This window comes from Homo sapiens, chromosome 19, assembly GCF_000001405.40.
Source record: "Homo sapiens chromosome 19, GRCh38.p14 Primary Assembly".
Lineage (NCBI taxonomy): Eukaryota > Metazoa > Chordata > Mammalia > Primates > Hominidae > Homo > Homo sapiens.
The window spans coordinates 3,558,058-3,584,205 of NC_000019.10; the positions used below are offsets into that span (position 1 = coordinate 3,558,058).

Sequence of the window (26,148 nt, forward strand, 5' to 3'; positions counted from 1 at the left end):
ACACTAATTAATTGGTTACTAACGGTAATGATGGGGGTAATCAACATAATAGTACCAGCTGGCCTTTAACGAGCGTTGCCTGCAAAGAGCCCCACGTGGTGACGCAAATTTCACTCTCATTTTACAGGCGAGGAACAGAGTTGCCCGAGGCTCGCAGTGAGTCAGGCGTCTGTGACTCCCAGGCCTGTGCGCGCGACCCTCCCCGTCCAACCAACGTCCTCCCACAAACGGGTCACCGGACTGAGGGTTTCAAGTTCCTCCAGGGGGTGTGTGCGGTTCCCCCTAACTCAGGCCCTACTCCTTCCAGCAGCATTTTCTCTTCTTTCCTCTTTTTATTTATTTCAGAAACAGGGTCTTGAGACGGGCGCGGTGACTCACGCCTGTAATCCCAGCACTTTGGGAGGCCGAGGCGGGCGGATCACCTGAGGTCAGGAGTTTGAGACCAGCCTGGCCAACAAGGTGAAACCCGTCTCTATTAAAAATACAAAAATTAGCCGAGCGTGGTGACAGGTGCCTGTAATCCCAGCTACTTTGGAGGCTGAGGCAGGAGAATCGCTTGACCCAGGAGGCAGAGGTTGCAGTGAGCCAAGACCGCGCCATTGCACTCCAGCCTGGATAACAAGAGTGAAACGCCGCCTCAAAAAAGAAAGAAAGAAAGAAAGAAACGGTCTTGCTCTGTGGCCCAGGCTGCAGTGCATTGGTGCAATCATGGCTCACTACAGCCTCAATCTTCAGGGCTCAAGTAATCCTCCTGTCTCAGCCTCCCAGGTAGCTGGGACTACAGGCACGCATCACCACATGTGGCTAACTTTTGTATTTTTAATTTTGGAGAGACAGGGTCTCACTATGATGCTTAGGTTGACCTCAAACTCCTGGTCTCAAGCAAGCCTCCCACCCTGGCCTCCAGAAGCTCTGGGATTACAAACATGAGCCTCTGCATCGGGCGGGTCTCCAGCAGTTTTCTTTCTTTCTTTCTCTCTCTCTCTCTCTTTTTGAGATGGAGTCTCCGTCTGTCACCCAGGCTGGAGTGCTGTGTTGCAATCTCAGCTCACTGCAGCCTCTGCCTCCCGAGTTCCAGCGATTCTCCTGCCTCAGCCTCCCGAGTAGCTGGGACTACGAGCACCCACCACCACGCCCAGCTAATTTTTGTATTTTTAGTAGAGACGGGGTTTCCCCATATTGGCCAGGCTGGTCTCAAACTCCTGAACTGAAGTGACCCACCCGCCTTGGCCTCCCAAAGTGTTGGGATTACAGTCACGAGCCACCGCGCCCGGCCTACAGCAGTATATTTGGCCTTGCAGTCTGCAGTGAGGTATGATTGCACCACTGCACTCCAACCTGGGCAACAGCAAGACCCCAGCTCTAAAACAAAACAAAACAAAACAAAAGGTCCTTGCAGTATGGAAGGAGAATCGTTGGATCCAGACTTGGTTCCACTGATTCTCTGCTGCTCCACTTGGGACAAGTCTTTTTTTTTTTGAGACGGAGTCTGGCTCTGTCGCCCAGGCTGGAGTGCGGTGGCACGATCTCAGAACACTGCAACCTCCGCCTCCTGGGTTCAAGAGATTCTCCTTCCTCAGCCTGCTGAGTAGCTGGGATTACAGGTGCCCGCCAACACGCCCGGCTAATTTTTGTAATTTTATTTTTATTTTATTTTTTTTTTTTTTTGAGACGGAGTCTGGCTCTCTCGCCCAGGCTGGAGTGCCCTGGCGCGATCTCAACTCACTGCAAGCTCCACCTCCCGGGTTCACGCCATTCTCCTGCCTCAGCCTCCGGAGCAGTTGGGACTACAGGCGCCCGCCATCGTGCCCGGCTAATTTTTTGTATTCTTAGTAGAGACGGGGGTTTCACCGTGTGAGCCAGGATGGTCTCGATCTCCTGACCTTGTGATCTGCCCGCCTCGGCCTCCCAAAGTGCCGGGATTACAGGCGTGAGCCACTGCGCCCAGCCTGGGACAAGTCTTTTAACCTCTTGGAGCTTGGGTCTCCCCTGATCTAGAACGGGTACAGGAGTTATATAATTGGCCTGCCATGGTGGCTCATGCCTGTAATCCCAGCACTTTGGGAGGCCGAGGTGAGAGGATTGTTTGATCCCAGGAGTCCAAGACCAGCCTGGGCAATGTGCTGAAACCCTATCTCTATAAAAAATTTTAAAAATTAGGCCAGGTGCGGTGGCTCAAGCCTGTAATCCCAACATTTTAGGAGGCCAAGGTGGGCAGATCACTTGAGCTCAGGAGTTCGAGACCAGCCTGCCCAACATGGTGAAAACCCATCTCTACTAAAAATACAAAAATAGCTGGGCGTGGTGGCTGTGCCTGTAATCCCAGCTACTTGGGAGGCTGAGGCAGGAGAATCTCTTGAACCTGGGAGGGCTGAGGTTGCAGTGAGCTGAGATCGCACCACTGCACTCCAGCCTGGGCGACAGAGCGAAGATCCGTCTCAAAAACCAGAACAAAACAAAACCCAAGGCTCAAACAGCCAAGGGGTCCACGGCCCCGGCTGCCCACGGTGATGCAGGTCACACACTGTTTTATGAAAACTAGACTGAAAATGGGCGGGAGGGGTAAAAGAGGTCAAGACACAGAACCTAGAAAGGAAGGAGGAGAGATAAGGGGCAGACGACTCGGGGAGATAAAGGGTTGAGGAGAGATAAGAACCTCAATTCCTTCCTCTCTGTTTGGCACGTTCCCACTTAGAGTCCTCCTGGCACGTTCCCCTTTAGAGTCCTCTGAGGGAAATGAAAGATGACTTTTTGAAATATTAGCCTAGGGACCAGGGATCCTGGCTCCCGCCTGTAATCCCAGCACTTTGGGAGGCCAAGGTGAAGGGGTCACTTGAGGTCAGCAGTTCGAGACCAGCCTGGCCAACATGGTGAGACCCCCGTCTCTACTAAAAATACAAAAATTGGGCCAGGCGCGGTGGCTCACGCCTGTAATCCCAGCGCTTTGGGAGGCCAAGGCGGGTGGATCACGAGGTCAGGAGTTCGAAACCAGCCTGGCCACGATGGTGAAACCCTGTCTCTACTAAAAATACAAAAATTAGCTGGGCGTGGTGGCGGGCGCAGATAATCCCAGCTACTCGGGAGGCTGAGGCAGGAGAACGGCTTGAATCCGGGAGGTGGAGGTTGCAGTGAGCTGAGATCGTGCCGCTGCACTCTAGCCTGGGGGACAGACCAAGACCCCATCTCAAAAAAAAAAAAAAATTACAGTAATTAGCCAGGCGTGGTGGTGGGTGCCTGTAACCCAGCTACTCCGGAGGCTGAGGCAGGAGAATCGCTTGAACCCAGAAAGTGGAGGTTGCAGTGAGCCAAGATCGCGCCACTGCACTCCAGCCTGGGCGACGGAGGAAGACCCTGTCTCAACAACAACAACAAAATTAGCCAGGTGTGGTGGTGCACACCTGGAGTCCTGGCTACTCCGGAGGTTGCTGTGGGAGGATCACTGAAGCCCAGGAAACGAAGGCTGCAGTGAGCTATGATCGCACCACTGTGCTCCAGCCTGGGTGACACAGTGAGACTCAGTCTCAAAACAAAAACAAAAAAACTAATGTTTTTCCCATTCCTCATCTCCTTTCATCCCACAAGATCCCTAGGAGGTCTTACACCACTTCATGCTCTATTATTTTATTTTATTATTAATTTTTATTTTTAGAGACAGGGTCTTGCTCTGTCACCTAGGCTGGAGTGCAGTGGTGTGACCACAGCTCACTGTAGCCTTGGCCTCCCGGGCTGAAGAGATCCTCCTGCCTCAGCCTCTTGAGTAGCTGGGACTACAGGTGCCTGCCACCACACCTGGCTAATTTTTTCAGAGATGGAAGTCTTGCTATGTTGCCCTGACTGGTCCCAAAGAGATGGGATTACAGACGTGAGGCACAGTGTGCAGCCTTCATGACCCCCTCCACTGCCTTTTCTTGTTTTTTTTGAGATGGAGTCTCACTTTGTCGCCAGGCTGGCGTGCAATGGTACGATCTCGGCTCACTGCAACCTCCACCTCCCGGGTTCAAGCGATTCTCCTGCCTCAGCCTCCCGAGTAGCTGGGATTACAGGCGCCCGCCACCACGCCCAGCTTATTTTTGTATTTGTAGTAGAGACGGGATTTCACCATCTTGGCCAGGCTGGTCTCAAACTCCTGACTTCAGGTGACCCGCCCGCCTCGGCCTCCCAAAGTGCTGGGATTACAGGTGCGAGCCACTGCGCCCAGCCCTTCATGCCTCTTTTACAGATAAGGAAACTGAGTTTCACAAAGACGGGCATGGGCATGGGACTGTGGCGGGCATGGGACTAACAAGAGGCAGATGTGGGATTTGAACTCAGCTCCACGTGACCTCTTTATGTGCTGGCTGCGGAATGCCACCTGAGTGTGGAGGAACAGGTGCCTCACTGTCCACTGCTTTTTCAGCCTCCTTTGTAGGTCGAGAATCAGGCACAATCCCGCCTCCCTTTGGAGAAGATCCAGCGGAGGAGGCAGGGTGTGGTTAAAGCGCCAACACATCTCTGCATTCTTGTCCTTTTGCTGTTGTGGTGGTTGTTGTTTGAGACTGAGTCTTGCTCTGTCGCCCAGGCTGGGGTGGAGTAGCACGATCTCGGCTCACCGCAACCTCCACCTCCCGGGTTCAAGCGATTCTCCTGCCTCAGCCTCCCAAGTAACTGGGCTTACAGGCACCTGCCACCACGCTCGGCTAATTTTTTGTATTTTTTAGTAGAGACGGGGTTTCGCCATGTTGCTGTTTCGCCATGTTGTGGGTCGGTTCTCGAAATTCCTGACCTCCCAAAGTGCTGAGATCACAGGCATGAATCACCATACCCAACGTAGTTTTTTTGTTTTTGTTTTTGAAGACAGAGTCTTGCTTTGTCACCTAGGCTGGAGTGCAATGGCGCAGTCTCCGCTCACTGCAACCTCTGCCTCCTGGGTTCAAGCAGTTCTGTATCAGCCTCCCGAGTAGCTGGGACTACAGGCGAGCGCCACCACCCCCAGATAATTTTTGTATATTTAGTAGAGATGGTTTTCACCATGTTGGCCAGGCTGCTTTCGAACTCCTGACCTCAAGTGATCCGCCTGCCACAGCCTCCCAAAGTGCTGGGATTACAGGCGTGAGCCACCGCGCCTGGCCACCCAAAGTATTTTTGTTTGTTTGTTTGTGACGGAGTCTCGCCTGTCGCCCAGGCTGGAGTGCAGTGGCGCCATCTCCACTCACTGCAAGCTCCACCTCCCAGGTTCACGCCATTCTCCTGCCTCAGCCTCCTGAGTAGCTGGGACTACGGGCGCCCACGACCACGCCCGGCTAATTTTTTGTATTTTTAGTAGAGATGGGGTTTCACTGTGTTAGCCAGGAGGGTCTCGATCTCCTGACCTCATGATCCCCCTGCCTCGGCCTCCCAAAGTGCTGGGATTACAGGTGTGAGGCACTGCGCCTGGCCACCCAAAGTATTTTTAAATTTTTTGTAGAGATGAGGCCTCATCATTTTGCCTAGGCTGGTCCCGACCACCTGGCTTCAAGTGGTCCTCCCGGCTCAGCCTCCCAGAGTGTTGGGATTATAGGCATGAGCCTCGGCACCTGGCCTCTGTTTTTGTCCCTTTGAAGCCAGCTAATATTTCCTAGCCCTGACTTTGTGGGGTGAGCAGGAACTAGGTCTGACCTCTTGCTGAGGAGCCCCAAAGATTCTGAAGCCCCTGCTTTTGAGGGGAGACAGGGATGACCCCTCCCAGTTCCCCTCATCAGGGACAGGACTGGAGGAGTCAGACCAAGAAGGGCGGTTACAAGGTAGGTGAGGAGTTGGGACATTACCCTGAGGTCACTAGGGAGCCATGGTAGGGGTTAGAGGGAGGGTGGGACTGAGTCAGATTAAAAAGTCCAGTGGGAGATGAGGAAGGGCTTCTTCCAAATGAAGGCCTCAGCTGCGTGCGTGGGGAAGCCACAGGAGAGGACATGTGCCCCAACAAGAGTGGGGGTTGGACGTGAGGGTAAAGATCAGAGAAGGCCCTGTCTAGAGATGTCAGGAAGGCATGATGAAAGCTCAGGCCCTCGGGGTAGGACAGAGGAGTCAGGAGAGATCCTCACAGTCTGATGTCCCCAGCCCATCACCAGCAGCCCCCTGACGCCAAGCCTGCGTTCCCCCTCCCCTGGCCGGACATCGGATGTCCTGATGGCCGCAGTCCAGCCTCGGGGTGGGGTGGGGAATGTCAAGTACTAGAGGCTTCCTTGATCTTCTGTGACCCAGGCCTGGGGTGACAGAGGTGGGGGGGTGGGCAGTGAGGGTTCCTGAGGCTGCACTGAAACTTCCTTATATCTGAGGGTGGCCACGGTGGAGGCGGGGGAGCAGGGGAGCAAAGCCAGGATCAAATCTGGGCAGTCCCTGACAAGCCACCAAGCTTCAGTTGCCCTCTCTGTAAAATGGGGGTGAGGTGAGAGTAACCGAACCAAACAGAATACCAGGAGGCTTCAACCACACAACTTGGCCGGGCGCGGTGGCTCACACCTGTAATCCCAGCACTTAGGGAGGCCGAGGCAGGTGGGTCACCTGAGATGAGGAGTCTGAGACCATCCTCGCCAATATGGTGAAACCTCATCTCTACTAAAAATACAAAAAATTATCTAGGCCTGGTGGTGCATGCCTGTAATCCCAGCTACTCGGGAGGCTGAGGCAGGAGAATCACTTGAGCCCGGGAGGCAGAGGTTGCAGTGAGCCGAGGTCTGGCCATTGCACTCCAGCCTCGGCGACAGAGTGAGACTCCATCTCAAAAAAAACATTAGCTGGGCATGGTGGTGGCCACCTATAATCCCAGCTACTCGGGAGGCTGAGGCAGGAGAATTGCTTGAACCTGGGAGGCAGAGGTTGTGGTGACCTGAGATCGCGCCATTGCACTCCAGCCTGGGCGACAGAGTGAGACCCAGTCTCAAAAAAAAAAAAAAAAAAAGGATGGGGAGGGAGGGAAGGAAGGACGAACTCTTTTTTTTTTTTTTTTTTTTTTTGAGACGGAGTCTTGCTCTATTGCCCAGGATGGAATGCAGTGGCACGATCTCAGCTCACCACAACCTCCTCCTCCCAGGTTCAAGCGATTCTCCTGTCTCAGCCTCCTGAGTAGCTGGGATTACAGGTGCCTGCCACCACGCCTGGCTAAGTTTTTGTATTTTTAGTAGAGACGGGGGTTTCTCCACGTTGGTCAGGCTGCTCTCTAACTCCTGACCTCATGATCTGCCCGCCTCGGGCTCCCAAAGTGCTGGGATGACAGGCGTGAGTCACTGCGCCCGGCCTCTTCAGTCAGTCTTTGCGTGACTCAGTCTTTGCCAGGACCCTCCTGGCCTCAGGTCCTGTTCAGTATCTGGTCTACCATTGCCAGAAGGAGCGCATTCTGTGAGTCTTGTGATTTACGTTTTAACGTTGATGCTGGTCAGTCCTTGCGCTGAGAGCAAAACGGGGAGGAGCTGTAACGAAGCGCGGTGACCTCCTGGCACGGCAGGGCCTGGAACTCGGAGCTTTTTGTTGTTGTGTTGTGTTTTGAGACGGAGAGTCGCTCTGTCGCCCAGGCAGGAGTGCACCGGTGCGATCTCAGCTCACTGCAACCTCCGCCTCCTGGGTTCAAGCAGTTCTCCTGCCTCAGCCTCCCGAGTAGCTGGGAGTATAGGCGTGTGCCACCACATCCGGCTAAGTTTTTTGTCTTTTTAGTGGAGATGGGGTTTCGCCATGTTGGCCAGGCTGGTCTCGAACCCCTGACCTCAGGTGATCCGCCCGCCTCGGCCTCCCGAAGTGCTGGGATTCCAGGCGTAAGCCACTGTGCCTGACCAACCTCGGTACTCCTGACGTTTGGGACATCATTTTTTGTGGTGGGGGCCGTGTAGGATCTCTGGCCTCAACCGTGTAGATGCCAGTAGCACCCCCCTAGTCCGACAATGAAAAATCTCTCTAGACATTACTAGGTATTTCCTGGCGTGACAGAGTTGGCCCCGGATGAGAACCACTGAGCTAGAGCGTTTTCTGTAACAGGTGTTTGATTCTCCCTGGACAATCCCAGCCAGCAACGTCATAAAGGTAGACAAAGCAATTATCCCACTTAACAGATGGAGAAACTGAGGCACAGAAGTTGAGTAAATTGCCCAAGTCCCACAGTTGAGGCTCAGATTGCTTCCCTGAGTTCCTGAGGGCCCAGCAGCAGTGGGGTGCCCCTCCTCAGAGGCCTGAGATCCCTGTCCCACCAGCCCTGTGTTCTGCCAGCCCCGGGGCCAGGGGATGCTAGGGGCAGTAGCTCTCTTTCCGCTTCCCTGTCGCCTTCTCAGCTCTCCAGCATCTGTTTAAGCAATGCCTGTATGAAGTTGCCTCTATAAAAAGCCCCAGGAGGCTTGAGATTGTCCGTGGCCTGGGAGAACCAACCACACCCTGACTCTCCCTGGGTGGTGGAGAAAAGTCCACACATCCATGTTGATTAATATCTATTAAAAATTTAAGGTCAGGCGCGGTGGCTCATGCCTGTAATCCCAGCACTTTGGGAGGCCGAGGCGGGCGGATCGCGAGGTCAGGAGATTGAGACCATCCTGGCTAACACAGTGAAACCCCGTCTCTACTAAAAATACAAAAACTTAGCCGGGTGTGGTGGCGGGCGCCTGTAGTCCCAGCTACCCGGGAGGCTGAGGCAGGAGAATGGCATGAACCCGGGAGACGGAGCTTGCAGTGAGCAGAGATGGCGCCACTGCACTCCAGCCTGGGCGACAGAGAGAGACTCCATCTCAAAAAAAAAAAAAAAAAATTAATGGGGGCATGTAATCCCAGTACTGTGGTACTGTGGTACTGTGGGAGGCTGAGGCAGGAGGATCACGAGGCCAGGAGTTTGAGACCAGCCTGGCCAACATGGCAAAACCTCATCTCCACTAAAAGTACAAAAATTAGTCTCGCATGGCGATGTGTGCCTGTAACCCTGGCTACTCTGAAGGCTGAGGCACGTGAATCACTTGAACACGGGAGGTGGAGGTTGCAGGGAGGTGGAGGTTGCAGGGAGCTGAGACTGAGCCACTGCACTCTAGCCTGGGAGCTGGGCAACAAAGCAAGACCCCATCTGTACGAAAATTAAAATAATCAGCCAGATGTGGTGGTGCATACCTGTGGTCCCAACTGCTCGAGAGGCTGAAGCAGGAGAATCACTTGAGCCCAGGAGTTCGAGGTTGCAGTGAGCTGAGATCCGATGACTACACTCCAGCCTGGGTGACACAGCGAGACACCATGTCTCAAAAAATAATAATAGTAAAAAATACCCTTTATCTGAGCGATATTATTGAGTAAACAGAACTGGTTGCAGTTGAAGCTTACAGCATGAAGGCACTGGTATAATACACAGCAGAATAGGACCTCACATTTGTTTGCTTACTTTTATTATTATTTTTTTTTGTAGAGACAGGGTCTCACTATGTTGTCCAGGCTGGCCTCAAATTCCTGGGTTCAAGCAATCCTCCTGCCTCAGCCTCCCATAGTGCTGGGATTACAGGTGTGAGCTACTGCACCTGGCCAGGACCTCACTTTATTTATTTATTTATTTTTTTGAGACAAAGTCTCGCCATGTCGCCCAGGCTGGAGTGTAGTGGCTCGATCTTGACTCACTGAAACCTCTGCCTCCCAGGTTCAAGCAATTCTTGTGCCGCAGCTTCCTGAGTAGCTGGAGCTACAGGTGTGCACCACCATGCGTGGCTACTTTTTGTATTTTTAGTACAGACAGGGTTTTGCCATGTTGGCCAGGCTGTTCTTGAAATCCTGACCTCAGGTGATCGGCCCACTTTGGCTTCTCAAAGTGCTGAGATTACAGGCGGGAGCCACCACGCCCAGCCTATATTTTTATTTATTTATTTACTATTTTTTGAGAGGGAGTCTCGCTCTGTCACCCAGGCTGGAGTGCAGTGGCACGATCTCAGCTCACTGCAACCTCCGCCTCTAGGTTCAAGTGATTCTCCTGCCTCAGCCTTCTGAGTAGCTGGGACTACAGGCGTGCACCCCCATGCCCAGCTAATTTTTGTGGTTTTACTTTTTTGTAGAATTTTTTTTTTAACTGTGAATACACATTTTTTATTTGGTCATTTTTGCTTACAATTGAAACTCTGGGAATTCAAAATTAACATCCTTGCCCATGAGCTTCTTATAGACACCAGAAAAAGTTTCAACCTTGTGTTCCATATTGTTCTGCTGTGCCTTGTCCAAATGAACCTTTATGAGCCGGCTGCCATCTAGTTTCACGCAGATTCTCTAGAGTTTCAACTGTAAGCAAAAATGACTAAATAAAAAATATATATTCACGTTAAAAAAATTTTTTTTTTTTTTTTGAGACGGAGTCTCGCTCTGTCCCAGGCTGGAGTGCCGTGGCGGGATCTCCGCTCACTGCAACCTTTGCCTCCCGTGTTCAAGCTATTCTCCTACCTCAGCCTCCCAAGTAGCTGGGATTACAGGTGCCCGCCACCACGCCCGGCTAATTTTTGTATTTTTAGTAGAGATGGGGTTTCACCATGTTGACCAGGCTGGTCTCGAACTGTGGACCTCGTGATCCTCCCACCTCAGCCTCCCAAAGTGCTGGGATTACAGGTGTGAGCCACCGTGCCTGGCAATTTTTGTGTTTTTAGTAGGGACAGGGTTTCTCCATGTTGGCCAGGCTGGTGTCAAATTCCTGACCTCCAGCGATCCACCCACCTCGGCCTCCCACAGTGCTGGCATTACAGGCGTGAGCCACCGCGCCCAGCCCACGTCTTTATTAGGAATACGCACATGTGTACGTGTGTAGGCATGTGCTGTGGGTGGAGTCATGTCCCCACAGAATGCACAGGTTCCTGTCCTAATCCCCAAGGCCTCAGAATGTGACCGTATTTGGAAAAAGGTCATTGCAGATATAATGAGTTAAGATGACATCATTAGGGTGGGCCGTGACGCAGTATGACTGCTGTCCTTATCAAAAGAGGAAATTTGGGTGCAGACACGCACATAGGGAGAACCCCACATGAAGATGCAGGCAGACATCGGGGTGTCACTCCTACAAGACAAGAAAAGCCCAGGATTGCTGGCCAATGCCAGAAACTGGGAGACGCCAGGGACAGATTCTCTCCCCGCCCTCAGAAGGCCCCAGCCCTACCCACACCTTCCTCTTGGACTTCTGGCCTCCAGAACTGTGAAACAATAAATTTCTCTTGTTTAAGCCCCTCAGTTTGTCGTAATTATTACCTAGCAAACCAATGCAGTGTGGTGTGCGTGTGTGTGTGTGTGTGTGTGTGTGTGTGTGTGAGTGTGGCTAGGAAAAATTTTAAAAAGAGATGCGGCCGGGTACAGTGGCTCACGCCTGTAATCTCAGCACTTTGGGAGGCCAAGGTGGGCGGATCATCTGAGGTCAGGAGTTCAAGACCTGCCTGGCCAACATGGCAAAACCCCGTCTCTACTAAAAATACAAACATTAGCTGGGTTTGGTGGCACGTGCCTGTAATCCCGGCTACTCAGGAGGCTGAGGCAGGAGAATCACTTGAACCTGGGAGGCGGAGGTTGCAGTGAGCAAAGATCACGCCACTGCACTCCAGCCTGGGCGAATGAAACTCTATCTCAAAAAAAAAAAAAAGAAAAAAAAAAGGCCTGGCACAGTGGCTCACGACTGTAATCCCAGCACTTTGGGAGGCCAAGGCGGGTGGATCACAATGTCAGGAGATCGAGACCATCCTGGCTAACACGGTGAAACCCCATCTCTACTAAAAAATACAAAAAAATTAGCCGGGCGTGGCAGCGTGTACCTGTAGTCCCAGCTACTTGGGAGGCTGAGGCAGGAGAATGGTGTAAACCCGGGAGGTGAAGCTTGCAGTGAGCCGAGATCGCGCCACTGCACACTAGCCTGGACGACAGAGCGAGACTCTGTCTCAAAAAAAAAAAAAAAAAAAAAAAAAAAGCAATAAGCTGACGATAGGAAATGTAATGAAATTAAAGAGGTCTGAGCTGCACTTCCTTAATTCTGTACAAGTGAAATGGATGTGAACATGATTTGCATAATAAAAATTAATTAGAAAACCAAAGAATTATAAGGCAAGTCATCCTTAATGGAGAGCTTCCACCTCTAGGATTATAAATTGGTATACTGTTCCTGGCTTCATGCTATAAAAACTGGCAAATAAATCATAGTAATAAATGACAAAAAACAAACAAAAAGGCCGGGCGCAGTGGCCCACCCCTGCAATCTAGCACCTTGGGAGGCCGAGACGGGCGGCCACCTGAGGTCAGGAGTTCAAGACCAGCCTAGCCAACATGGTGAAACCCTGTCTCTACTAAAAAAAAAAAAAAAAAAAAAATTAGCCGAGCGTGGTGGCGGATGTCTGTAATCCTAGCTACTTGGGAGGCTGAGGCAGGAGAATCGTTTGAACCCGGGAAGCAGAGGTTGCAGTGAGCCGAGATGGTGCCACTGCACTCCAGCCTGGGCGGCAGAGCAAGACTCCATCTCAAAAAAATAAAATAAAATAAAATAAAATAAATAAACAAAATAAAATAAATGTTCAATTAAATTGTTATTGACTATGGCCGGGAGGGGTGGCTCCACACCCAGCCTCACCTAGACTATTTTTAAGTGAGCAGAGAGACACAGGGGAGGCCTGGGAGGTCAGAGAGCTGATTAAGCAACAGAGCCAGGTCTGGCGTGTGGAACCGTCCAGATTCCAGGGCCAGCTCCTCTTCCTCAGCCCCGGGCTGCATCTTAGGACAATGGGCTTATTGAGACTTAACTCACATATAATGCACCCATTTAGAGCATACAATTCCATGGTTTGTAATATATTTCCAGAGTCACGCAGCCATCACTGAAATCAAATTGTAAAATACTTTCATCACCCAAATGAAAACCGCATCCCTCTCAGTGGTCATTCCCCACCCACTGGCACCCACACGTCCCCCTCCTGTCTCTGTGGATGGGCCTTTCCTGAACATTCTGATCACACACTGTGTGACCTTTGTGTCTGGCGTCTCTCACTGAGTGTGATGTCTTCTAGGTACATCCATGCTGTGACTTGTGTCAGAGACTCGCTCCTTTTTTTTATGGCTGATAATATTCTTTTTTTTTTTTTTTGAGACGTAGTCTTGCTCTGTTGCCCAGGCTGGAGTGCAGTGGCACAATCTTGGCTCACTGCAACCTCTGCCTCCCAGTTCATGGGATCCTCCTGCCTCAGCCTCCCATGTAGCTGGGATTACAGGCGTGCACCACCACGCCTGGCTAGTTTTTGTATTTTTAATAGAACTGGAGTTTCACCATGTTGGCCAGGCTGGTCTCGAACTCCTGACCTCAAGTGATCCGCCTGCCTCCCAAAGTGCTGGGATTACAGGCGTGAGCCACTGCGCCCGGCCCATGGCGGATAATATTCTGTTGTAAGGATATATCCCGTCATCGATCCATGCATCATTAGCAGACGTTTGAGTTGTTTTCACTTTTTGGCTATTATGAATCACGCTGCTACCGACGCTTGTGTACACGCTTTTGTTTGAACACCTGTTTTCAGTTGTCTGGAGTATATTCCTAGGAGTGAACTGCTGAATTGCATGGTGATTCCACATTTATTTAACCCTTTGAGGAAATGCCAGTCTGTTTTCCAAAGCAGCTGCATCTGCCTCCTAGACATCTGAAGGATTCAATGAATGTGTATTGAGCATCCACCATGGGCAATGCTGTGAACCAAACAGGCAGGCCACAGGGAGAAGCCGACTTATGGAGGCAAAAAAAAAATCAGAGAAGGCCTGGCTGAGCAAGTGACATTTAAGCGGACTTGAGGAAGAGGAAGTGGGCCGGGCGTGGGGGCTCACGTCTGTAATCCCACCACTTTGGGAGGCCGAGGCGGGTGGATCACGAGGTCAGGAGTTCAAGACCAGCCTGGCCAAGATGGTGAAACCCTGTCTCTACTAAAAATACAAAAATTAGCCGGGCGTGGTGGCAGGCGCGTGTAATCCCAGCTACTCGGGAGGGTGAGGCAGAGAATTGCTTGAACCCGGGAGGCAGAGGTTGCAGTGAGCCGAGATCCAGCCACTGCACTCCACCCTGGACGACAGGGTGAGACTCCGTCTCAAAAACAAAAGAGGAGGTGAGCAGCCCCAACTTGGGCCAGAAGCCTAGACTGCTGCTGGGAGGTCCCTGATCCACCAGAGCGGAGCCTCCTGACCCATCCTCACGAAGTCCTTGCCATCTCCCTTCACCACCATCTTTCCCCAAACACTTCCAGCCCAGCTCCCAACCCCACCCCCTGCCTGACCCACACCCAGTTCTCAGCTTCCCAGCATCCCAGTCTCTCTGTCCTGGATATCGTGTGATGTCCCCGTTGCACAGGGGGGAAAGCCGAGACCCCAGAGGGAGAGCAGCCCCTATGGCCAGAAGCCCTCGGATCCGGACGTCGGGGGCTCTAAACTGAGTAAATACATAGGAAACTTCTCCGCTAGGTTTTGCAGGATGTTAAGAACAGGTCCCACCTTGCCTAGGGCTGGGGACTGCCTCGCAGGACCTTAACCCTAGCAACCCACCTCCGTCCCCATGGCAACCGGGGCGGGGCCCGACCCGGATCCGCCGGTCGCCCCATCCGGCAGCGGCTGGGAGTCTTGCCTTCAGAGAGGGAGGAGGAGTCCGCGCCTCTCCTACTGGCCCTTTAAGAGGCTCCGCCCGGCAAGTCCGCCACTCGCTCCCGATTGGTCCCGAGCGCGGCCGAGCGCAGCCGAACTTGACGCACCGCCCGCAGCCTTCCTTACCAACCTCCCACGCGACTCAGCAACCTCCCCAACCAATCGCCGGCCGGCGCGCCGATCGGTATCTGCATGGGCTCGCCCGGGGGGAAGGTCTCACCCAATGGGACCGTTCGCCGAGGCCTTCATTAGCATGCCGGGGGCGGGGAGGGGCGGGGCGGCCGACGGGGGCGGGCTGCGGGCGGTTGGTTGGAGCGTCGCGCAGTCGGGAGGTCCGGGAAAGTTTCTTTGGAGGTGAAAACAGCCGCGGAACTCCGGGCCCTGAGAGGGGGCGGGGGTGCAGGGGTCCCAGGGCCGGGCCGGGGTCTTTCCTGGCCCGGGGGAAACCGGCCCAGGCCTCCCGGGGGGGGCAATCGCCCAACAAAGGATTCTTGGGGCGCCCGCCCTCGAGGACTTCCCTGCCCCTGGATCCGGCCCCCCCAGCGCTCCGGGCCCGGCATCCCGGGGCTCTCCATCGCGGGGTACCCCAGTTCGCGGTCTGCCATCGGGCAGCCCGGGCGCTACTCACCTCCGCCCGCGTCCGTGTTCCAGGTCCGGCCCGGAGCGGCCATGTCCCACGGCCCCAAGCAGCCCGGCGCGGCCGCCGCGTGAGTGCACTGATCCCCTCCCCACGCCCTCGCTACTTTCCCGGCTGCAGCCCTAGCTCCTGAACCCCTGACCCAGTCCCTCCCGCCGGAGTCTTGACTCCCCCACCTGGGTCAGGGGGCTTCTCCCTCCACCCAATTCTGCACCCCCCACCTCGGCCTCCAGTCCCTCCCAGGAGCCCCGCTTGTCCCACCTTCCCCGGATACTGACCCCATCAGACCCTGCCTCCTCGGGCTCATGCACTCTCGCTGCAGCCCCGCCGTCGGGGGTCAAAACGCCCTGGGGTGGGCTTTTGGGGGAGGGGAGATTCTTGGGACGGGGCTGACCGCGGTATCCTTGGCTCCAGGCCGGCGGGCGGCAAGGCTCCGGGCCAGCATGGGGGCTTCGTGGTGACTGTCAAGCAAGAGCGCGGCGAGGGTCCACGCGCGGGCGAGAAGGGGTCCCACGAGGAGGAGGTGAGAGTCCCTGCGCTGAGCTGGGGGAGGCCCCGGGCTCCCGCCCCAGCCTCGAAGCCCCGCCCCAGGCTGGATTTGAATTGCTTGTGGCTCCGCCCACAGCCCATTTTCCTCTGGAAGCTGAGACCCCGCCCCGTGCCAGCTGCCACGCCCCTGACAGGTCCTCTGCCACTCTAAGTCCAGGCCCCGCCCACCGCACAATGCCAGCTCTGCCCACTCTAAGGTCCCGCCCACTTCCACTCCTTGGGGGCGGCACCCTCCCCTTGGTCCTGTGGGCCCGTTCTCCAGCAGAAAACCACGCCCACCAAGCAGAGGCCACGCCCACAACCGAAGTCAACGCCAACCCTGTACTCAAACCTCGGCCCATAGTTCCTCAGATCCCCTCACCCCTGGCCAGGGATCCCTCTAACCCACCGTGTCCCGACTGCTGACCGGGCCCTACCTCCATCTTTTCCGGGTTCTTCCTCCCAGCTAGGCCCCGCCCCCATCCCCGCCCATACGCGTTAGGCCCCGCCCATGCCCCTCTGAGCCCTGCCCCAGTACGCCAGGCCCCCCTCCCAACGACGCAGCCCGGTTCTGCAGCCGGTGAAGAAACGCGGCTGGCCCAAGGGCAAGAAGCGGAAGAAGATTCTGCCGAATGGGCCCAAGGCACCGGTCACGGGCTACGTGCGCTTCCTGAACGAGCGGCGCGAGCAGATCCGCACGCGCCACCCGGATCTGCCCTTTCCCGAGATCACCAAGATGCTGGGCGCCGAGTGGAGCAAGCTGCAGCCAACGGAAAAGCAGGTGGGCGGGGCGGGGCGCCGAGCAGGGCTGGCGGGGTCCACGGACTACCCCCCAGTAGCCCCGACCCCCAAAGGATTCCACGTGCAGGGTTTTTCCTTCTTCCTGGAGAAATGCCCACCCATAACCAACTTTTTTTTTTTTTTTTTTTGTGAGATGGAGTCTTGCTCTGTTGCCCAGGCTGGAGTGCAGTGGCGTGATCTCAGCTCACTGCAACCTCCGCCTCCCGGCTTCAAGCAATTCTCCTGTCTCAGCCTCTCAGGTAGCTGGGATTACAGGCGCGTGCTACCATGCCCTGCTAATTTTTGTATTTTTAGTAGAAATGGGGTTTCGCCATGTTGGCCAGGCTGGTCTCGAACTCTTGACCTCAAATGATCCGCCCACCTCAGCCTCCCAAAGTATTGATATTAAAGGCGTTAGCCACCGTGGCCAGCCCATGACCAGCTTTTGGGGGCGCGGCTAGCAAGAGGCAAGACAGATTGAAAACTGGATGACCAACAAAGATATGTCTAAGAAGTCAGGATGGGGCCTGGATTTTTTGCGAAACCCGATTTTCATATCCTGTTAGTTTAAAAATTGCAAAAACATCACGGAAATGTAACAAAAGCCATCACTGCTTTGCATCCCTGTAAGTGAGATTTCAAAGAGAGAAACGGGTGCGGGAGGGAGTCCAGGCATCCGCATACGCTGGAGGTTGGGTTCCTGCCCATGACTCTGGCGTCCGGGAGTGGTTTGTCAGGGCTGGAGGTGGGGAAGAGTCCGGGGCATGGGAAGTGAGGTGGGAGCTCGGAGGTCCCTGAGCAACAGGCTGAGGAGCCGGTTCTGTCTGCCTGGAGGGAATAGGGAGCTATAGAAGGTTCAGGAGAGGGGAGGGTGCTGTGAAAGCAGAGTGATAAAGACTGGATCCTGGCGTTGGAGGCTTCCCCTGCTTCAAGCCTTCTGGTGCTGCCCCCCAGCGGTACCTGGATGAGGCCGAGAGAGAGAAGCAGCAGTACATGAAGGAGCTGCGGGCGTACCAGCAGTCTGAAGCCTATAAGATGTGCACGGAGAAGATCCAGGAGAAGAAGATCAAGAAAGGTGGGAGGGGTCGGGCGCGGTGGCTCACGCCTGTCATCCCAGCACTTTGGGAGGCCGAGGCGGGTGTATCACCTGAGGTCAGACCAGCCTGGCCAACATAGTGAAACCCTCCCCCTCTACTAAAAATACAAAAATTACCTGGGCGTGGTGGCGGGTGCCTGTAATCCCAGCTACTCGGGAGGCTGAGGCAGGAGAATTGCTTGAACCCGGGAGGTGGAGGTTGCAGTGAGCCAAGATTGCGCCATTGCACTCTAGCCAGGGCGACAGGGCGAGACTCCGTCTCAAAAAAAAAAAAAAAAGAAAAAGAAAAATGAAAGGTGGGAGGGGCCGGTGCGAGCAGTTGGGGTCCTGCTCTGTGGGGTGCGACCTCAGCCCAGGCAGGGCCTCCCTCCGTGGGGCACAGTCCCGTGGGTTGGGCGGGGGAAAGATACATAGCCAGACAGGAGTGAAGGGGGCTCACTCGGTACAGCGATGGGGGATGCCCAGACGCGGGGCACTCAAGTGGGGAGCTGGAGCCGGCTGAGCAGCGCTGACCTAGGGTGCAGGGCGTGGTCCCTGGAGGCCTGGGAGGCTGACCCTGCCCTTCCCCTCCCCCGCCAGAAGACTCGAGCTCTGGGCTCATGAACACTCTCCTGAATGGACACAAGGTAAGCGACCTTCTTCCTCTCAAAGCACCTGGGGGAGAAAGGTCTGGAGGCTTCTAGAACCCTGAGTCAGAGCCAGTGCTCGCCCAGATGTGTGCAAGCAGGGGCGGTGCCACTGCACCGTGGGATCGCTGTTGATTGTACTCCCACCGGGGTGTCCCAGGAGACCCTCCTAGGCTTGGGGCACACCCAGAGAGCGTGGCTGCCTCCTACCACCAGTAAATTGCCACCTTGTCCCTTCGTCTTAGGGTGGGGACTGCGATGGCTTCTCCACCTTCGATGTTCCCATCTTCACTGAAGAGTTCTTGGACCAAAACAAAGGTGAGCGGTAACTGCGCTCCTGATGCGAACTCCGTGAAACTGGGTGGTAGAGGGGGGCGTGGGCCAGGAGGGCCCCAAGACTGCAGGAGGCGGATCGGGAGGTTCCCTATGAGCGTCCAGGCGCACGCTGTCGCTCCAGAGGCTGATGTGGAGCAGGAGGCAGAGGGCGCAGTGAGGGAAACCTGGGCAGGGGCACGTCCCGGGCAAAAGCCCGGAGGTAGGGGAAAGGGGAGGCGCAGGCTTTGACCCCGCTCCCCCCGGCGCAGCGCGTGAGGCGGAGCTTCGGCGCTTGCGGAAGATGAATGTGGCCTTCGAGGAGCAGAACGCGGTACTGCAGAGGCACACGCAGAGCATGAGCAGCGCGCGCGAGCGTCTGGAGCAGGAGCTGGCGCTGGAGGAGCGGAGGACGCTGGCGCTGCAGCAGCAGCTCCAGGCCGTGCGCCAGGCGCTCACCGCCAGCTTCGCCTCACTGCCGGTGCCGGGTGCGGGCCACGCCCATCTCCCAGTCCCGCCCCGGTCACCCGGCCCCGCCCGCCTCCCCCCCCCTCCTCCCTTCCCCCCTTCCCCTGTCGCCCGGCGCCGCCCATCGCCCCGTCCCCTCTTCCCCAGTCACCCGGCCCCGCCTATCGCCCCGCCCTCATCACCCCCAGCTCCGCCTCCTCCCCGACCCCCGCACCCCTACCCCATAGCTCCGTCTGGTTCTTCCCAGACCACACCCGAGCTCCGCTCCGCGCCCCGTTACTCGGCCGGCTCCCTGACCTCGCCCCCACCGACCGCGCCTCCCGGCCACGACCTCTCCCGACGCGTCCCCGCTTACTCGCTTCCTCCCGCAGCCCCTTTGTGCCCCCACCCTTCGCGCCCCCACCGCTCCCTACCGGCCCCACCGTCGCTGGCCCCTCTCCCTCGCCAGCCCCCGACCAGCCTGAGCACTGACCCAGCCTCCCCGCTCGCCACGCCACGTTCCCATTCACCCCACCTCCCCACGCCCCCGTCACCCATCCCTCCCCACGCCCCGCTGACGCCTGAGCCCCCTCCACCACCCCAGTCACGTCCCACGCGACCCCAGCCCCCCGGTGTCATCCCCACCTCCCCGACCTCGTTCCCTCCGTCCGTGACTGTCCTCAGCGGACCCTGGACGCCCGCCGCTCTAGCCCCGCGTCCCCACCCTGTCCCCGTCCTCGCCATCCTCCTGCCCCGGCTTACCTTAGCCCACCCTGCGCCGCTCCTGCGCTGGCGGTGTCCGGACCTCTGAGCGCCCGCGCGACCCGCCCTGAGTCACCCCCTACCGCTGCCCCTGGAGCCCCCGCCCCGCGACTCCCCGGCACCCTCGCCTGACCTTCCCGCCTGTCCCCCAGGCACGGGCGAAACGCCCACGCTGGGCACTCTGGACTTCTACATGGCCCGGCTTCACGGAGCCATCGAGCGCGACCCCGCCCAGCACGAGAAGCTCATCGTCCGCATCAAGGAAATCCTGGCCCAGGTCGCCAGGTGTGTGCCGGGCGAGGCGGGGCGGGGCCGGGGTTCAAGGCCCGGATGTGCCCGCCCTGGGGTTCCCCAGGTCCGCGAGGGCTGCTGGGTGGGACTCCGCAGCTTACTAGAGATCACCTCCCGGAGGGGCCTACCTGCGGTCGCCCCTGATGCACCAGTGCTAGGATGGCCATGGAGAACCCCGGGCCGGCGGGACCCACTCGGGGGCACCAGAACTTCCCTAAAGCTTCTCAGGGTGGATCCCAGCGCCCGGGTTAGATAGGTTCAACGCCTGTCCCCCAACCCTGGCATCTGTTGGAGCAGCTGATGGGCCATGGTCTCTGGGGTTCCCCAGGGCCGGGGTGGGGGCCAGAGATGATGAGGGCCTCATCCCGGGCCCTCCTCTCTCGTTTCAGCGAGCACCTGTGAGGAGTGGGCGGGCCCACGATGCAGAGGAGAAGCTGTGGGCGCGGCCCTGCCACACCCCACCCCGTGGACGAGAGGCTGGGGGTCCACCCTTTGGGGCCTGGTCCCATCCTGCACCTTGGGGGCTCCAGCCCCCCTAAAATTAAATTTCTGCAGCATCCCTTTAGCTTTCAATCTCCCCAGCCCCCTGAACCCGGAAAAAGCACTCGCTGCGCGATACACCCAGAAGAACCTCACAGCCGAGGGTGCCCCTCCTCGGAGGACAGCCACGCGCTACACTGGCTCTCCGGGCCACCCCCAGGACACAGGGCAGACGAAACCCACCCCCAGCACACGGCAGGACCCCCCAAATTACTCACTACGGGGGGCTGTGCCATAGGCCACACAGGAAGCTGCCTTGTGGGGACTTACCTGGGGTGTCCCCCGCATGCCTGTACCCCAGATGGGTGGGGGCCGGCTTTGCCCATCCTGCTCTCCTCCAGCCGAGGGACCCTGGTGGGGGTGGCTCCTTCTCACTGCTGGATCCGGACTTTTTAAATAAAAACAAGTAAAATTTGTGTTTTAAGCTTGTGAGTGTGTAAGCTTGTTTGGGGTGGTGTGGAGGGTTCAGAAGGTGCAGCCTGGGCCCCCCATGACATTCCCTGCTGGGGGCGCCAGGCCTGCTCTCTTTACCTCTAGCAGAGCCTCAGAGTTTCTCAGATAGGGAGACGGGAGCCCAAACTTGCCGGGGTTCACAGAGCAAGTCAATGGCTGGGCAGGTGTCTCCATCCCTCCCCTACCTAAAGTTGGGCATTGTGGGCTCAGCACACGTGGGGGACTTGAAGCACAGGGGACAGTCACGGCTGCTCAGTTCATCCTTCAACTTGTGTCCGCACGGGGGTTCAAGTCCACTTTGTAGCACAGTGACTTTGGGTGGGCCACGGTTTTGTTTATTGTGTAAAATACGCAACATGAACCTTACCATCATAGCCATTTTGTTTATTTATTGGAGACGCGGTCTCACTCTGCCACCCAGGCTGGAGCGCAGTGGCCCGATCATAGCTCACTGCAGCCTTGAACTCCTGGGCTCAAGCAATCCTCCTGCTTCAGCCTCCCAAACCCTGGGATTACAGGCGTGAGCCACCGCGCCTGGCCATTTTAGCCATTTTAAAATGCACAATTCAGTGGCATTTAGTACATCACAATTTTGTGCAGTCATCACCTTTATCTAATCTCAACGCATTCTCATCACCCCCAGAGGAAGTCCTGTCCTCATCAACAGTCACTCTCATCCCCTCCCCAGCTCCTGGCACCCACAAATCCCCTTCCTGCCTCTGTGGATTGACGTGTCCTGGATATGGGACCACACACTGTGTGGCCTTTTTTTTTTTTTTTTTTTTGAGACAGAGTCTTGCTCCGTCACCCAGGCTGGAGTGCAGTGGCACGATCTCGGCTCAATGCAACCTCCGCCTCCCTGGCTCGAGTGATTCTCCTGCCTCAACCTCCTGAGTAGCTAGGACTACAGGCGTGTACCACCACACTCAGCTAATTTTTTGTATTTTTAGTAGAGATGGGGTTTCACCGTGTTAGCCAGGCTGGTTTCGAACTCCTGACCTAGGTGATCTGCCCGCCTCCGCCTCCCAAAGTGCTGGGATTACAGGTATGAGCCACCGCACCCGGACTATATGTCCTTTTGTATCTGGCTTCTCTCACTGAGTGTGATTGTCCTCCAGATTTATCCACGCTGTGGCCTGTGTCAGAGCCTCATTCCTTTTGGTGGCTGAGTCATTGTCCAGTGTGTGGATGAATCCGCTGTATTGACCCCATCTATCTGTCAAAGGACACTTGGCTATTTCTACCACTTGTGAGTCATGCTGCTGTGAACATTCATGTACATGTTTTTGTTAGAATGCACATTTTCCATTCTTTTGGAGATACAGATTGCTGGGAGTTCTGCATTTGGCTTGTTTTGTGTACGTGTGTGTGTGTGTGTGTGTTGCTTATTGAGAAACCTTTCCAGGGACTTCTGCGTTTAATGGCATACATAAGACATCCTAAAAAATTCGGAGAATAATCTGAACCCCAGAACCTCTGAACGTGACCTTATTTGGAAATAGGGTCACTGCAGATATAATTAGTTAAGATTAAGTCATTACTGGAGTAGCATAGGCCCTAAGTCCAAGATGACTGCTCTCCTTATAAGAAGATAAAATCTGGACACAGACACAGAGAAGAGACAGCCAAGTGACAACAGAGGCCGAGACTGGAGTGATGTATCTAGAAGCCAAGAAACGTTAAGGAAGGCCACCCACAGCCAGAAGCTGTGGATGCCAGGAAGGATTCTTCCCAGGGGCTCCGAGGGCCCTGCCAACACCTTCATTGTGGGATTCTGGCCTCTGGAGCTGTGAGAGGATAAGTTTCTGCTGTGTTATGTCTCCCTGTTTGTGATGCTTTGTTTTTGTTTATTTTTTATTTTTTAGGGGTTGGGGGGGGGTCTCACTATGTTGCCCAGGATGATCTTGAACTCCTGGCTCAAGTGTCCTGCTGCCTGGGCCTCCCAAAGTGCTGGGATTACAGGCGTGAGCCATTGTGCCCGCCCACCTCCATCCCACACTGCTTCTTCTTCTTCTTTTTCTTTTTTTTTTCAGACAGAGTTTCACTCATGTCACCCAGGCCGGAGTGCAATGGCACGATCTCGGCTCACTGCAACCTCCACCATCCAGGTTCAAGCGATTCTCCTGCCCCAGCCTCCTGAGTAGCTGGGATTACAGGCGCCCACCACCATGTCTGGCTAATTTTTTATATTTTAGTAGAGATGTGATTTCACCATGTCAGCCAGGATGGTCTCGAACTCCTGACCTCAGGTGATCCACCTGCCCCAGCCTCCCAAAGGGCTGGGATTACAGGCGTGAGCCACCGTGCCCGACAGCTTTTTTTTTTTTTTTGAGACAGGGTCCCACTATGTTACCTAGGCTGGAGTGCAGTGTCGCAATCATAGCTCACTGCAGCCTCGACCTCCTGGGCTCAGGTGATCCTCCCACCTGGTTCTCGTGAGTAGCTGGGACCACAGGTGCCTGCCATCACTCCTGCCTAATTATTTATTTAATTTATTTATTTATTTATTTTTCTGTGAGACAGAGTCTCGCTCTATTGCCTAGGCTGGAGTGCAATGGCTGGATCTCAGGTCACTGCAACCTCCACCTCCCGGGTTGAAGCGATTCTCCCACGTAGCTGGGATTACAGGCACTCACCATCAAGCCTGGCTAATTTTTGTATTTTGAGTAGAGATGGGGCTTCACCATGTTGCCCAGGCTGATCTCAAACTCCTGACCTCAAGTGATCAACCCACCTCAGCCTCCCAAAGTGCTGGAATTACAGGCATGAGCCACCATACCCAGTCAATTTATTGGTATTTGTGAGATGGGGTCTCACTATGTTGCCCAGACTGGTCTTGAACTACCGGGTTCAAGCGATCCATCTGGGCCAGCCTCTCAAAACGCTAGGATTACAGGCATAAGCCACTGCACCCAGCTGTTTCTTTGTGGTTGAGACAGGATCTTGCTCTGTCACCCAGGCTGAAGTGCAGAGATGCCATCACAGCTCACTGCAGCCTATACCTCCTGGGTTCAAGCAATCTTCCCATCTCAGCTTCCCAAGTAGCTGGGACTACAGGTGTGTGCCACCACACCCCGCTAATTTTGTATTTTTTGTAGAGATGGGGTCTCACCTTATTCCTCAGGCTGGTCTCAAACTCCTGGGCTCAAGTGATCCTCCCGCCTCGGCCTCCCAAAGTGCTGGGATCACAGTCAAGAGCCACCTCACCACACCCAGTTTTTGGTGCTTTGTTACAGCCATCATGGGCGAGTCAGACAACCTGATACTGCCAACCCCCCTCACTCCCCACCCCAGTTTCACCCTGTCCTGGCACAGGTACCACCACCTTAAATTTAGAGTTTCTCATTTCTAGGCAGGCCTGGAAAATAGCATTTTGCAGCAGTTTTTTATTAAAAAAAATTTCAGTATACAATTCAGTAGGTTTTGGTACATTCAAAAAGCTGTGTGGGCTGGGCACAGTGGCTCACGCCTGTAATTCCAGCAGTTTGGGAGACCGAGGCAGGCAGATCACTTGAGACCAAGAGTTCCAGACCAGCCTGGCCAACATAGTGAAACCCGGTCTCTACTAAAAATACAAAAATAGCCAGGGATGGTGGTGCATGCCTGTAATTCCAGCTACTTGGGAGACTGAGGCAGGTGAATCCCTCTCTCTCTCTCTTTTTTTTTTTTTGAGGCGGAGTCACGCTCTTGTCTGTCCCAGGCTGGAGTGCAGTGGCGCGATCTTGGCTCACTGCAACCTCCGCCTCCCGGGTTCAAGTGATTCTCCTGTCTCAGCCTTCCAAGTAGCTGGGATTACAGGCACATGACACCATACTCAGCTAATTTAATTTTTGTATTTTTAGTAGAGATGGGGTTTCATCATGTTGGCCAGGATGGTCTTGATCTCTTGACCTTGTGATCTGCCTTCCTTGGCCTCCCCAAGTGCTGGGATTACAGGGGTGAGCCACCAGACCTGGCCTTTTTTTTTTTTTTTTTTTTTTGAGACAGTCTCACTCTGTTGTCCAGGCTGGAGTGCAGTGGCATGATCTTGGCTCACTGCAACCTCCGCCTCCCAGGTTGGAGCAATTCTGCCTCAGCCTCCCGAGTAACTGGGACTACAGGTGTGCGCCACCACACCTGGCTAATTTTTGTGTTTTTAGTAGAGATGGGGTTTCACTGCGTTGTCCAGGCTGGTCTCGAACTCCTGACCTCAAGCAATCCGCCTGCCTCAGCCTCCCAAAGTGCTGGATTACAGGCATGAGCCACCGTGCCCGGCCTTACATAAAATTTCTTACCTCGTCCAAACCCTCCTGCCACTTTCTTTTCTCTCCCCATGTTCAGTTTGTGAGGCTCCTCCTGGGCGGAGGCTGTGACTGGCTCTGCTGTAGGGCCCGCCACTGCAGGCAGGATGGCTGTTTATTGAGCCGACATTCCTGGGTAGGAATCTGATGGATACGTAGGTGTTTCTGACATTGCACTCCAGCGGATTTTTACCAACGCCTCCTGGTGCCTGGGGTCTCCTCCTTCATCTGTGACCTGGACATCCGTTCATTCCTCACCAAAGATCACTGGGCACCTGCTGTATGCCAGGCACTGTGCCCTGGACACTGGGCATGGGGACAGAGCAGGGGAACAGCCCCCACCCTCCTGGAGCTGACATTCCTCCAGTCCTGGGGACAAACAGGACAAAAGATGAAATGAAATATCAGCAGGGGGCTGGGGCTCAAGCCTGTAATCCCAACATTTTGGGAGGCTGAGGCGGGAGGATTCCTTGAGGTCAGGAGTTCGAGACCATCCTGGCCAACATGGTGAAACCCCCGTCTCTACTAAAAATACAAAAAAAATTAGCTGGGCATGGTGGCAGGTGCCTGTAATCCCAACTAATCAGGAGGCTGAGGCAGAAGAATCGCTTGAACCCGGGAGGCAGAGGTTGCAGTGAGCCGAGATCGTGCCACTGCACTCCAGCCTTGGCAAGAGAGAGAGACTCCGTCTCAAAAAATAAAATAAAATAAAATATCTGATATGTCAGATGGTAGCTTTAAATGCTGAAGAGAAGCTGGGCACAGTGGCTCACATCTGTAATCCTAGCACTTTGGGAGGCCAAGGCTGAAGGA

The 26,148-nt window shown here is 55.2% G+C and overlaps 1 protein-coding gene and 1 long non-coding RNA gene across 4 annotated transcripts, besides 7 other annotated features; one reads left to right on the top strand and one right to left on the bottom strand.

The window, feature by feature from the left end:
* Positions 74-368: an enhancer, noted in NCBI's record as "tiled region #8051; HepG2 Activating DNase unmatched - State 1:Tss". NCBI's record gives its function as "activates a minimal TATA promoter and a strong SV40 promoter by Sharpr-MPRA in HepG2 cells {active_cell/tissue: HepG2}" and the evidence as "EXISTENCE:reporter gene assay evidence [ECO:0000049][PMID:27701403]".
* Positions 12,730-15,760, bottom strand: LOC124904618 (uncharacterized). 2 transcript variants are annotated; one of them, XR_007067100.1, is made up of 2 exons: positions 14,804-15,760; positions 12,730-13,598 (listed from the first exon to the last, which is right to left on the bottom strand). It is a non-coding gene; the product is annotated as an uncharacterized LOC124904618 (long non-coding RNA). The 2 variants fall into 2 exon arrangements; XR_007067101.1 differs by having other exon boundaries at positions 14,488-15,760.
* Positions 13,533-14,101: an enhancer, noted in NCBI's record as "H3K4me1 hESC enhancer chr19:3571588-3572156 (GRCh37/hg19 assembly coordinates)". NCBI's record gives its function as "activates a minimal SCP1, AML or CMV promoter by ChIP-STARR-seq in primed H9 embryonic stem cells {active_cell/tissue: H9 hESC(primed)}" and the evidence as "EXISTENCE:reporter gene assay evidence [ECO:0000049][PMID:30033119]".
* Positions 14,102-14,669: an enhancer, noted in NCBI's record as "H3K4me1 hESC enhancer chr19:3572157-3572724 (GRCh37/hg19 assembly coordinates)". NCBI's record gives its function as "activates a minimal SCP1, AML or CMV promoter by ChIP-STARR-seq in primed H9 embryonic stem cells {active_cell/tissue: H9 hESC(primed)}" and the evidence as "EXISTENCE:reporter gene assay evidence [ECO:0000049][PMID:30033119]".
* Positions 14,564-14,653: an enhancer, noted in NCBI's record as "active region_13739". NCBI's record gives its function as "activates an Ori minimal core promoter by ATAC-STARR-seq in GM12878 lymphoblastoid cells {active_cell/tissue: GM12878}" and the evidence as "EXISTENCE:reporter gene assay evidence [ECO:0000049][PMID:35858748]".
* Positions 14,834-14,973: a silencer, noted in NCBI's record as "silent region_9851". NCBI's record gives its function as "represses an Ori minimal core promoter by ATAC-STARR-seq in GM12878 lymphoblastoid cells {active_cell/tissue: GM12878}" and the evidence as "EXISTENCE:reporter gene assay evidence [ECO:0000049][PMID:35858748]".
* HMG20B (high mobility group 20B) lies at positions 14,887-21,026 on the top strand. Of its 2 annotated transcripts, none has more exons than NM_006339.3 (10): positions 14,887-14,937; positions 15,235-15,290; positions 15,635-15,743; positions 16,326-16,529; positions 17,483-17,603; positions 18,204-18,250; positions 18,496-18,568; positions 18,835-19,050; positions 19,924-20,056; positions 20,452-21,026. In NM_006339.3, the coding sequence occupies exons 2-10, from the start codon at positions 15,253-15,255 to the stop codon at positions 20,462-20,464; spliced, it is 954 nt and encodes a 317-aa protein (NP_006330.2). In that variant the 5' UTR covers positions 14,887-14,937; positions 15,235-15,252; the 3' UTR covers positions 20,465-21,026. The 2 variants fall into 2 exon arrangements, with proteins under 2 accessions (NP_006330.2, XP_016881633.1); XM_017026144.2 differs by having other exon boundaries at positions 18,207-18,250.
* Positions 14,994-15,043: a silencer, noted in NCBI's record as "silent region_9852". NCBI's record gives its function as "represses an Ori minimal core promoter by ATAC-STARR-seq in GM12878 lymphoblastoid cells {active_cell/tissue: GM12878}" and the evidence as "EXISTENCE:reporter gene assay evidence [ECO:0000049][PMID:35858748]".
* Positions 15,064-15,153: a silencer, noted in NCBI's record as "silent region_9853". NCBI's record gives its function as "represses an Ori minimal core promoter by ATAC-STARR-seq in GM12878 lymphoblastoid cells {active_cell/tissue: GM12878}" and the evidence as "EXISTENCE:reporter gene assay evidence [ECO:0000049][PMID:35858748]".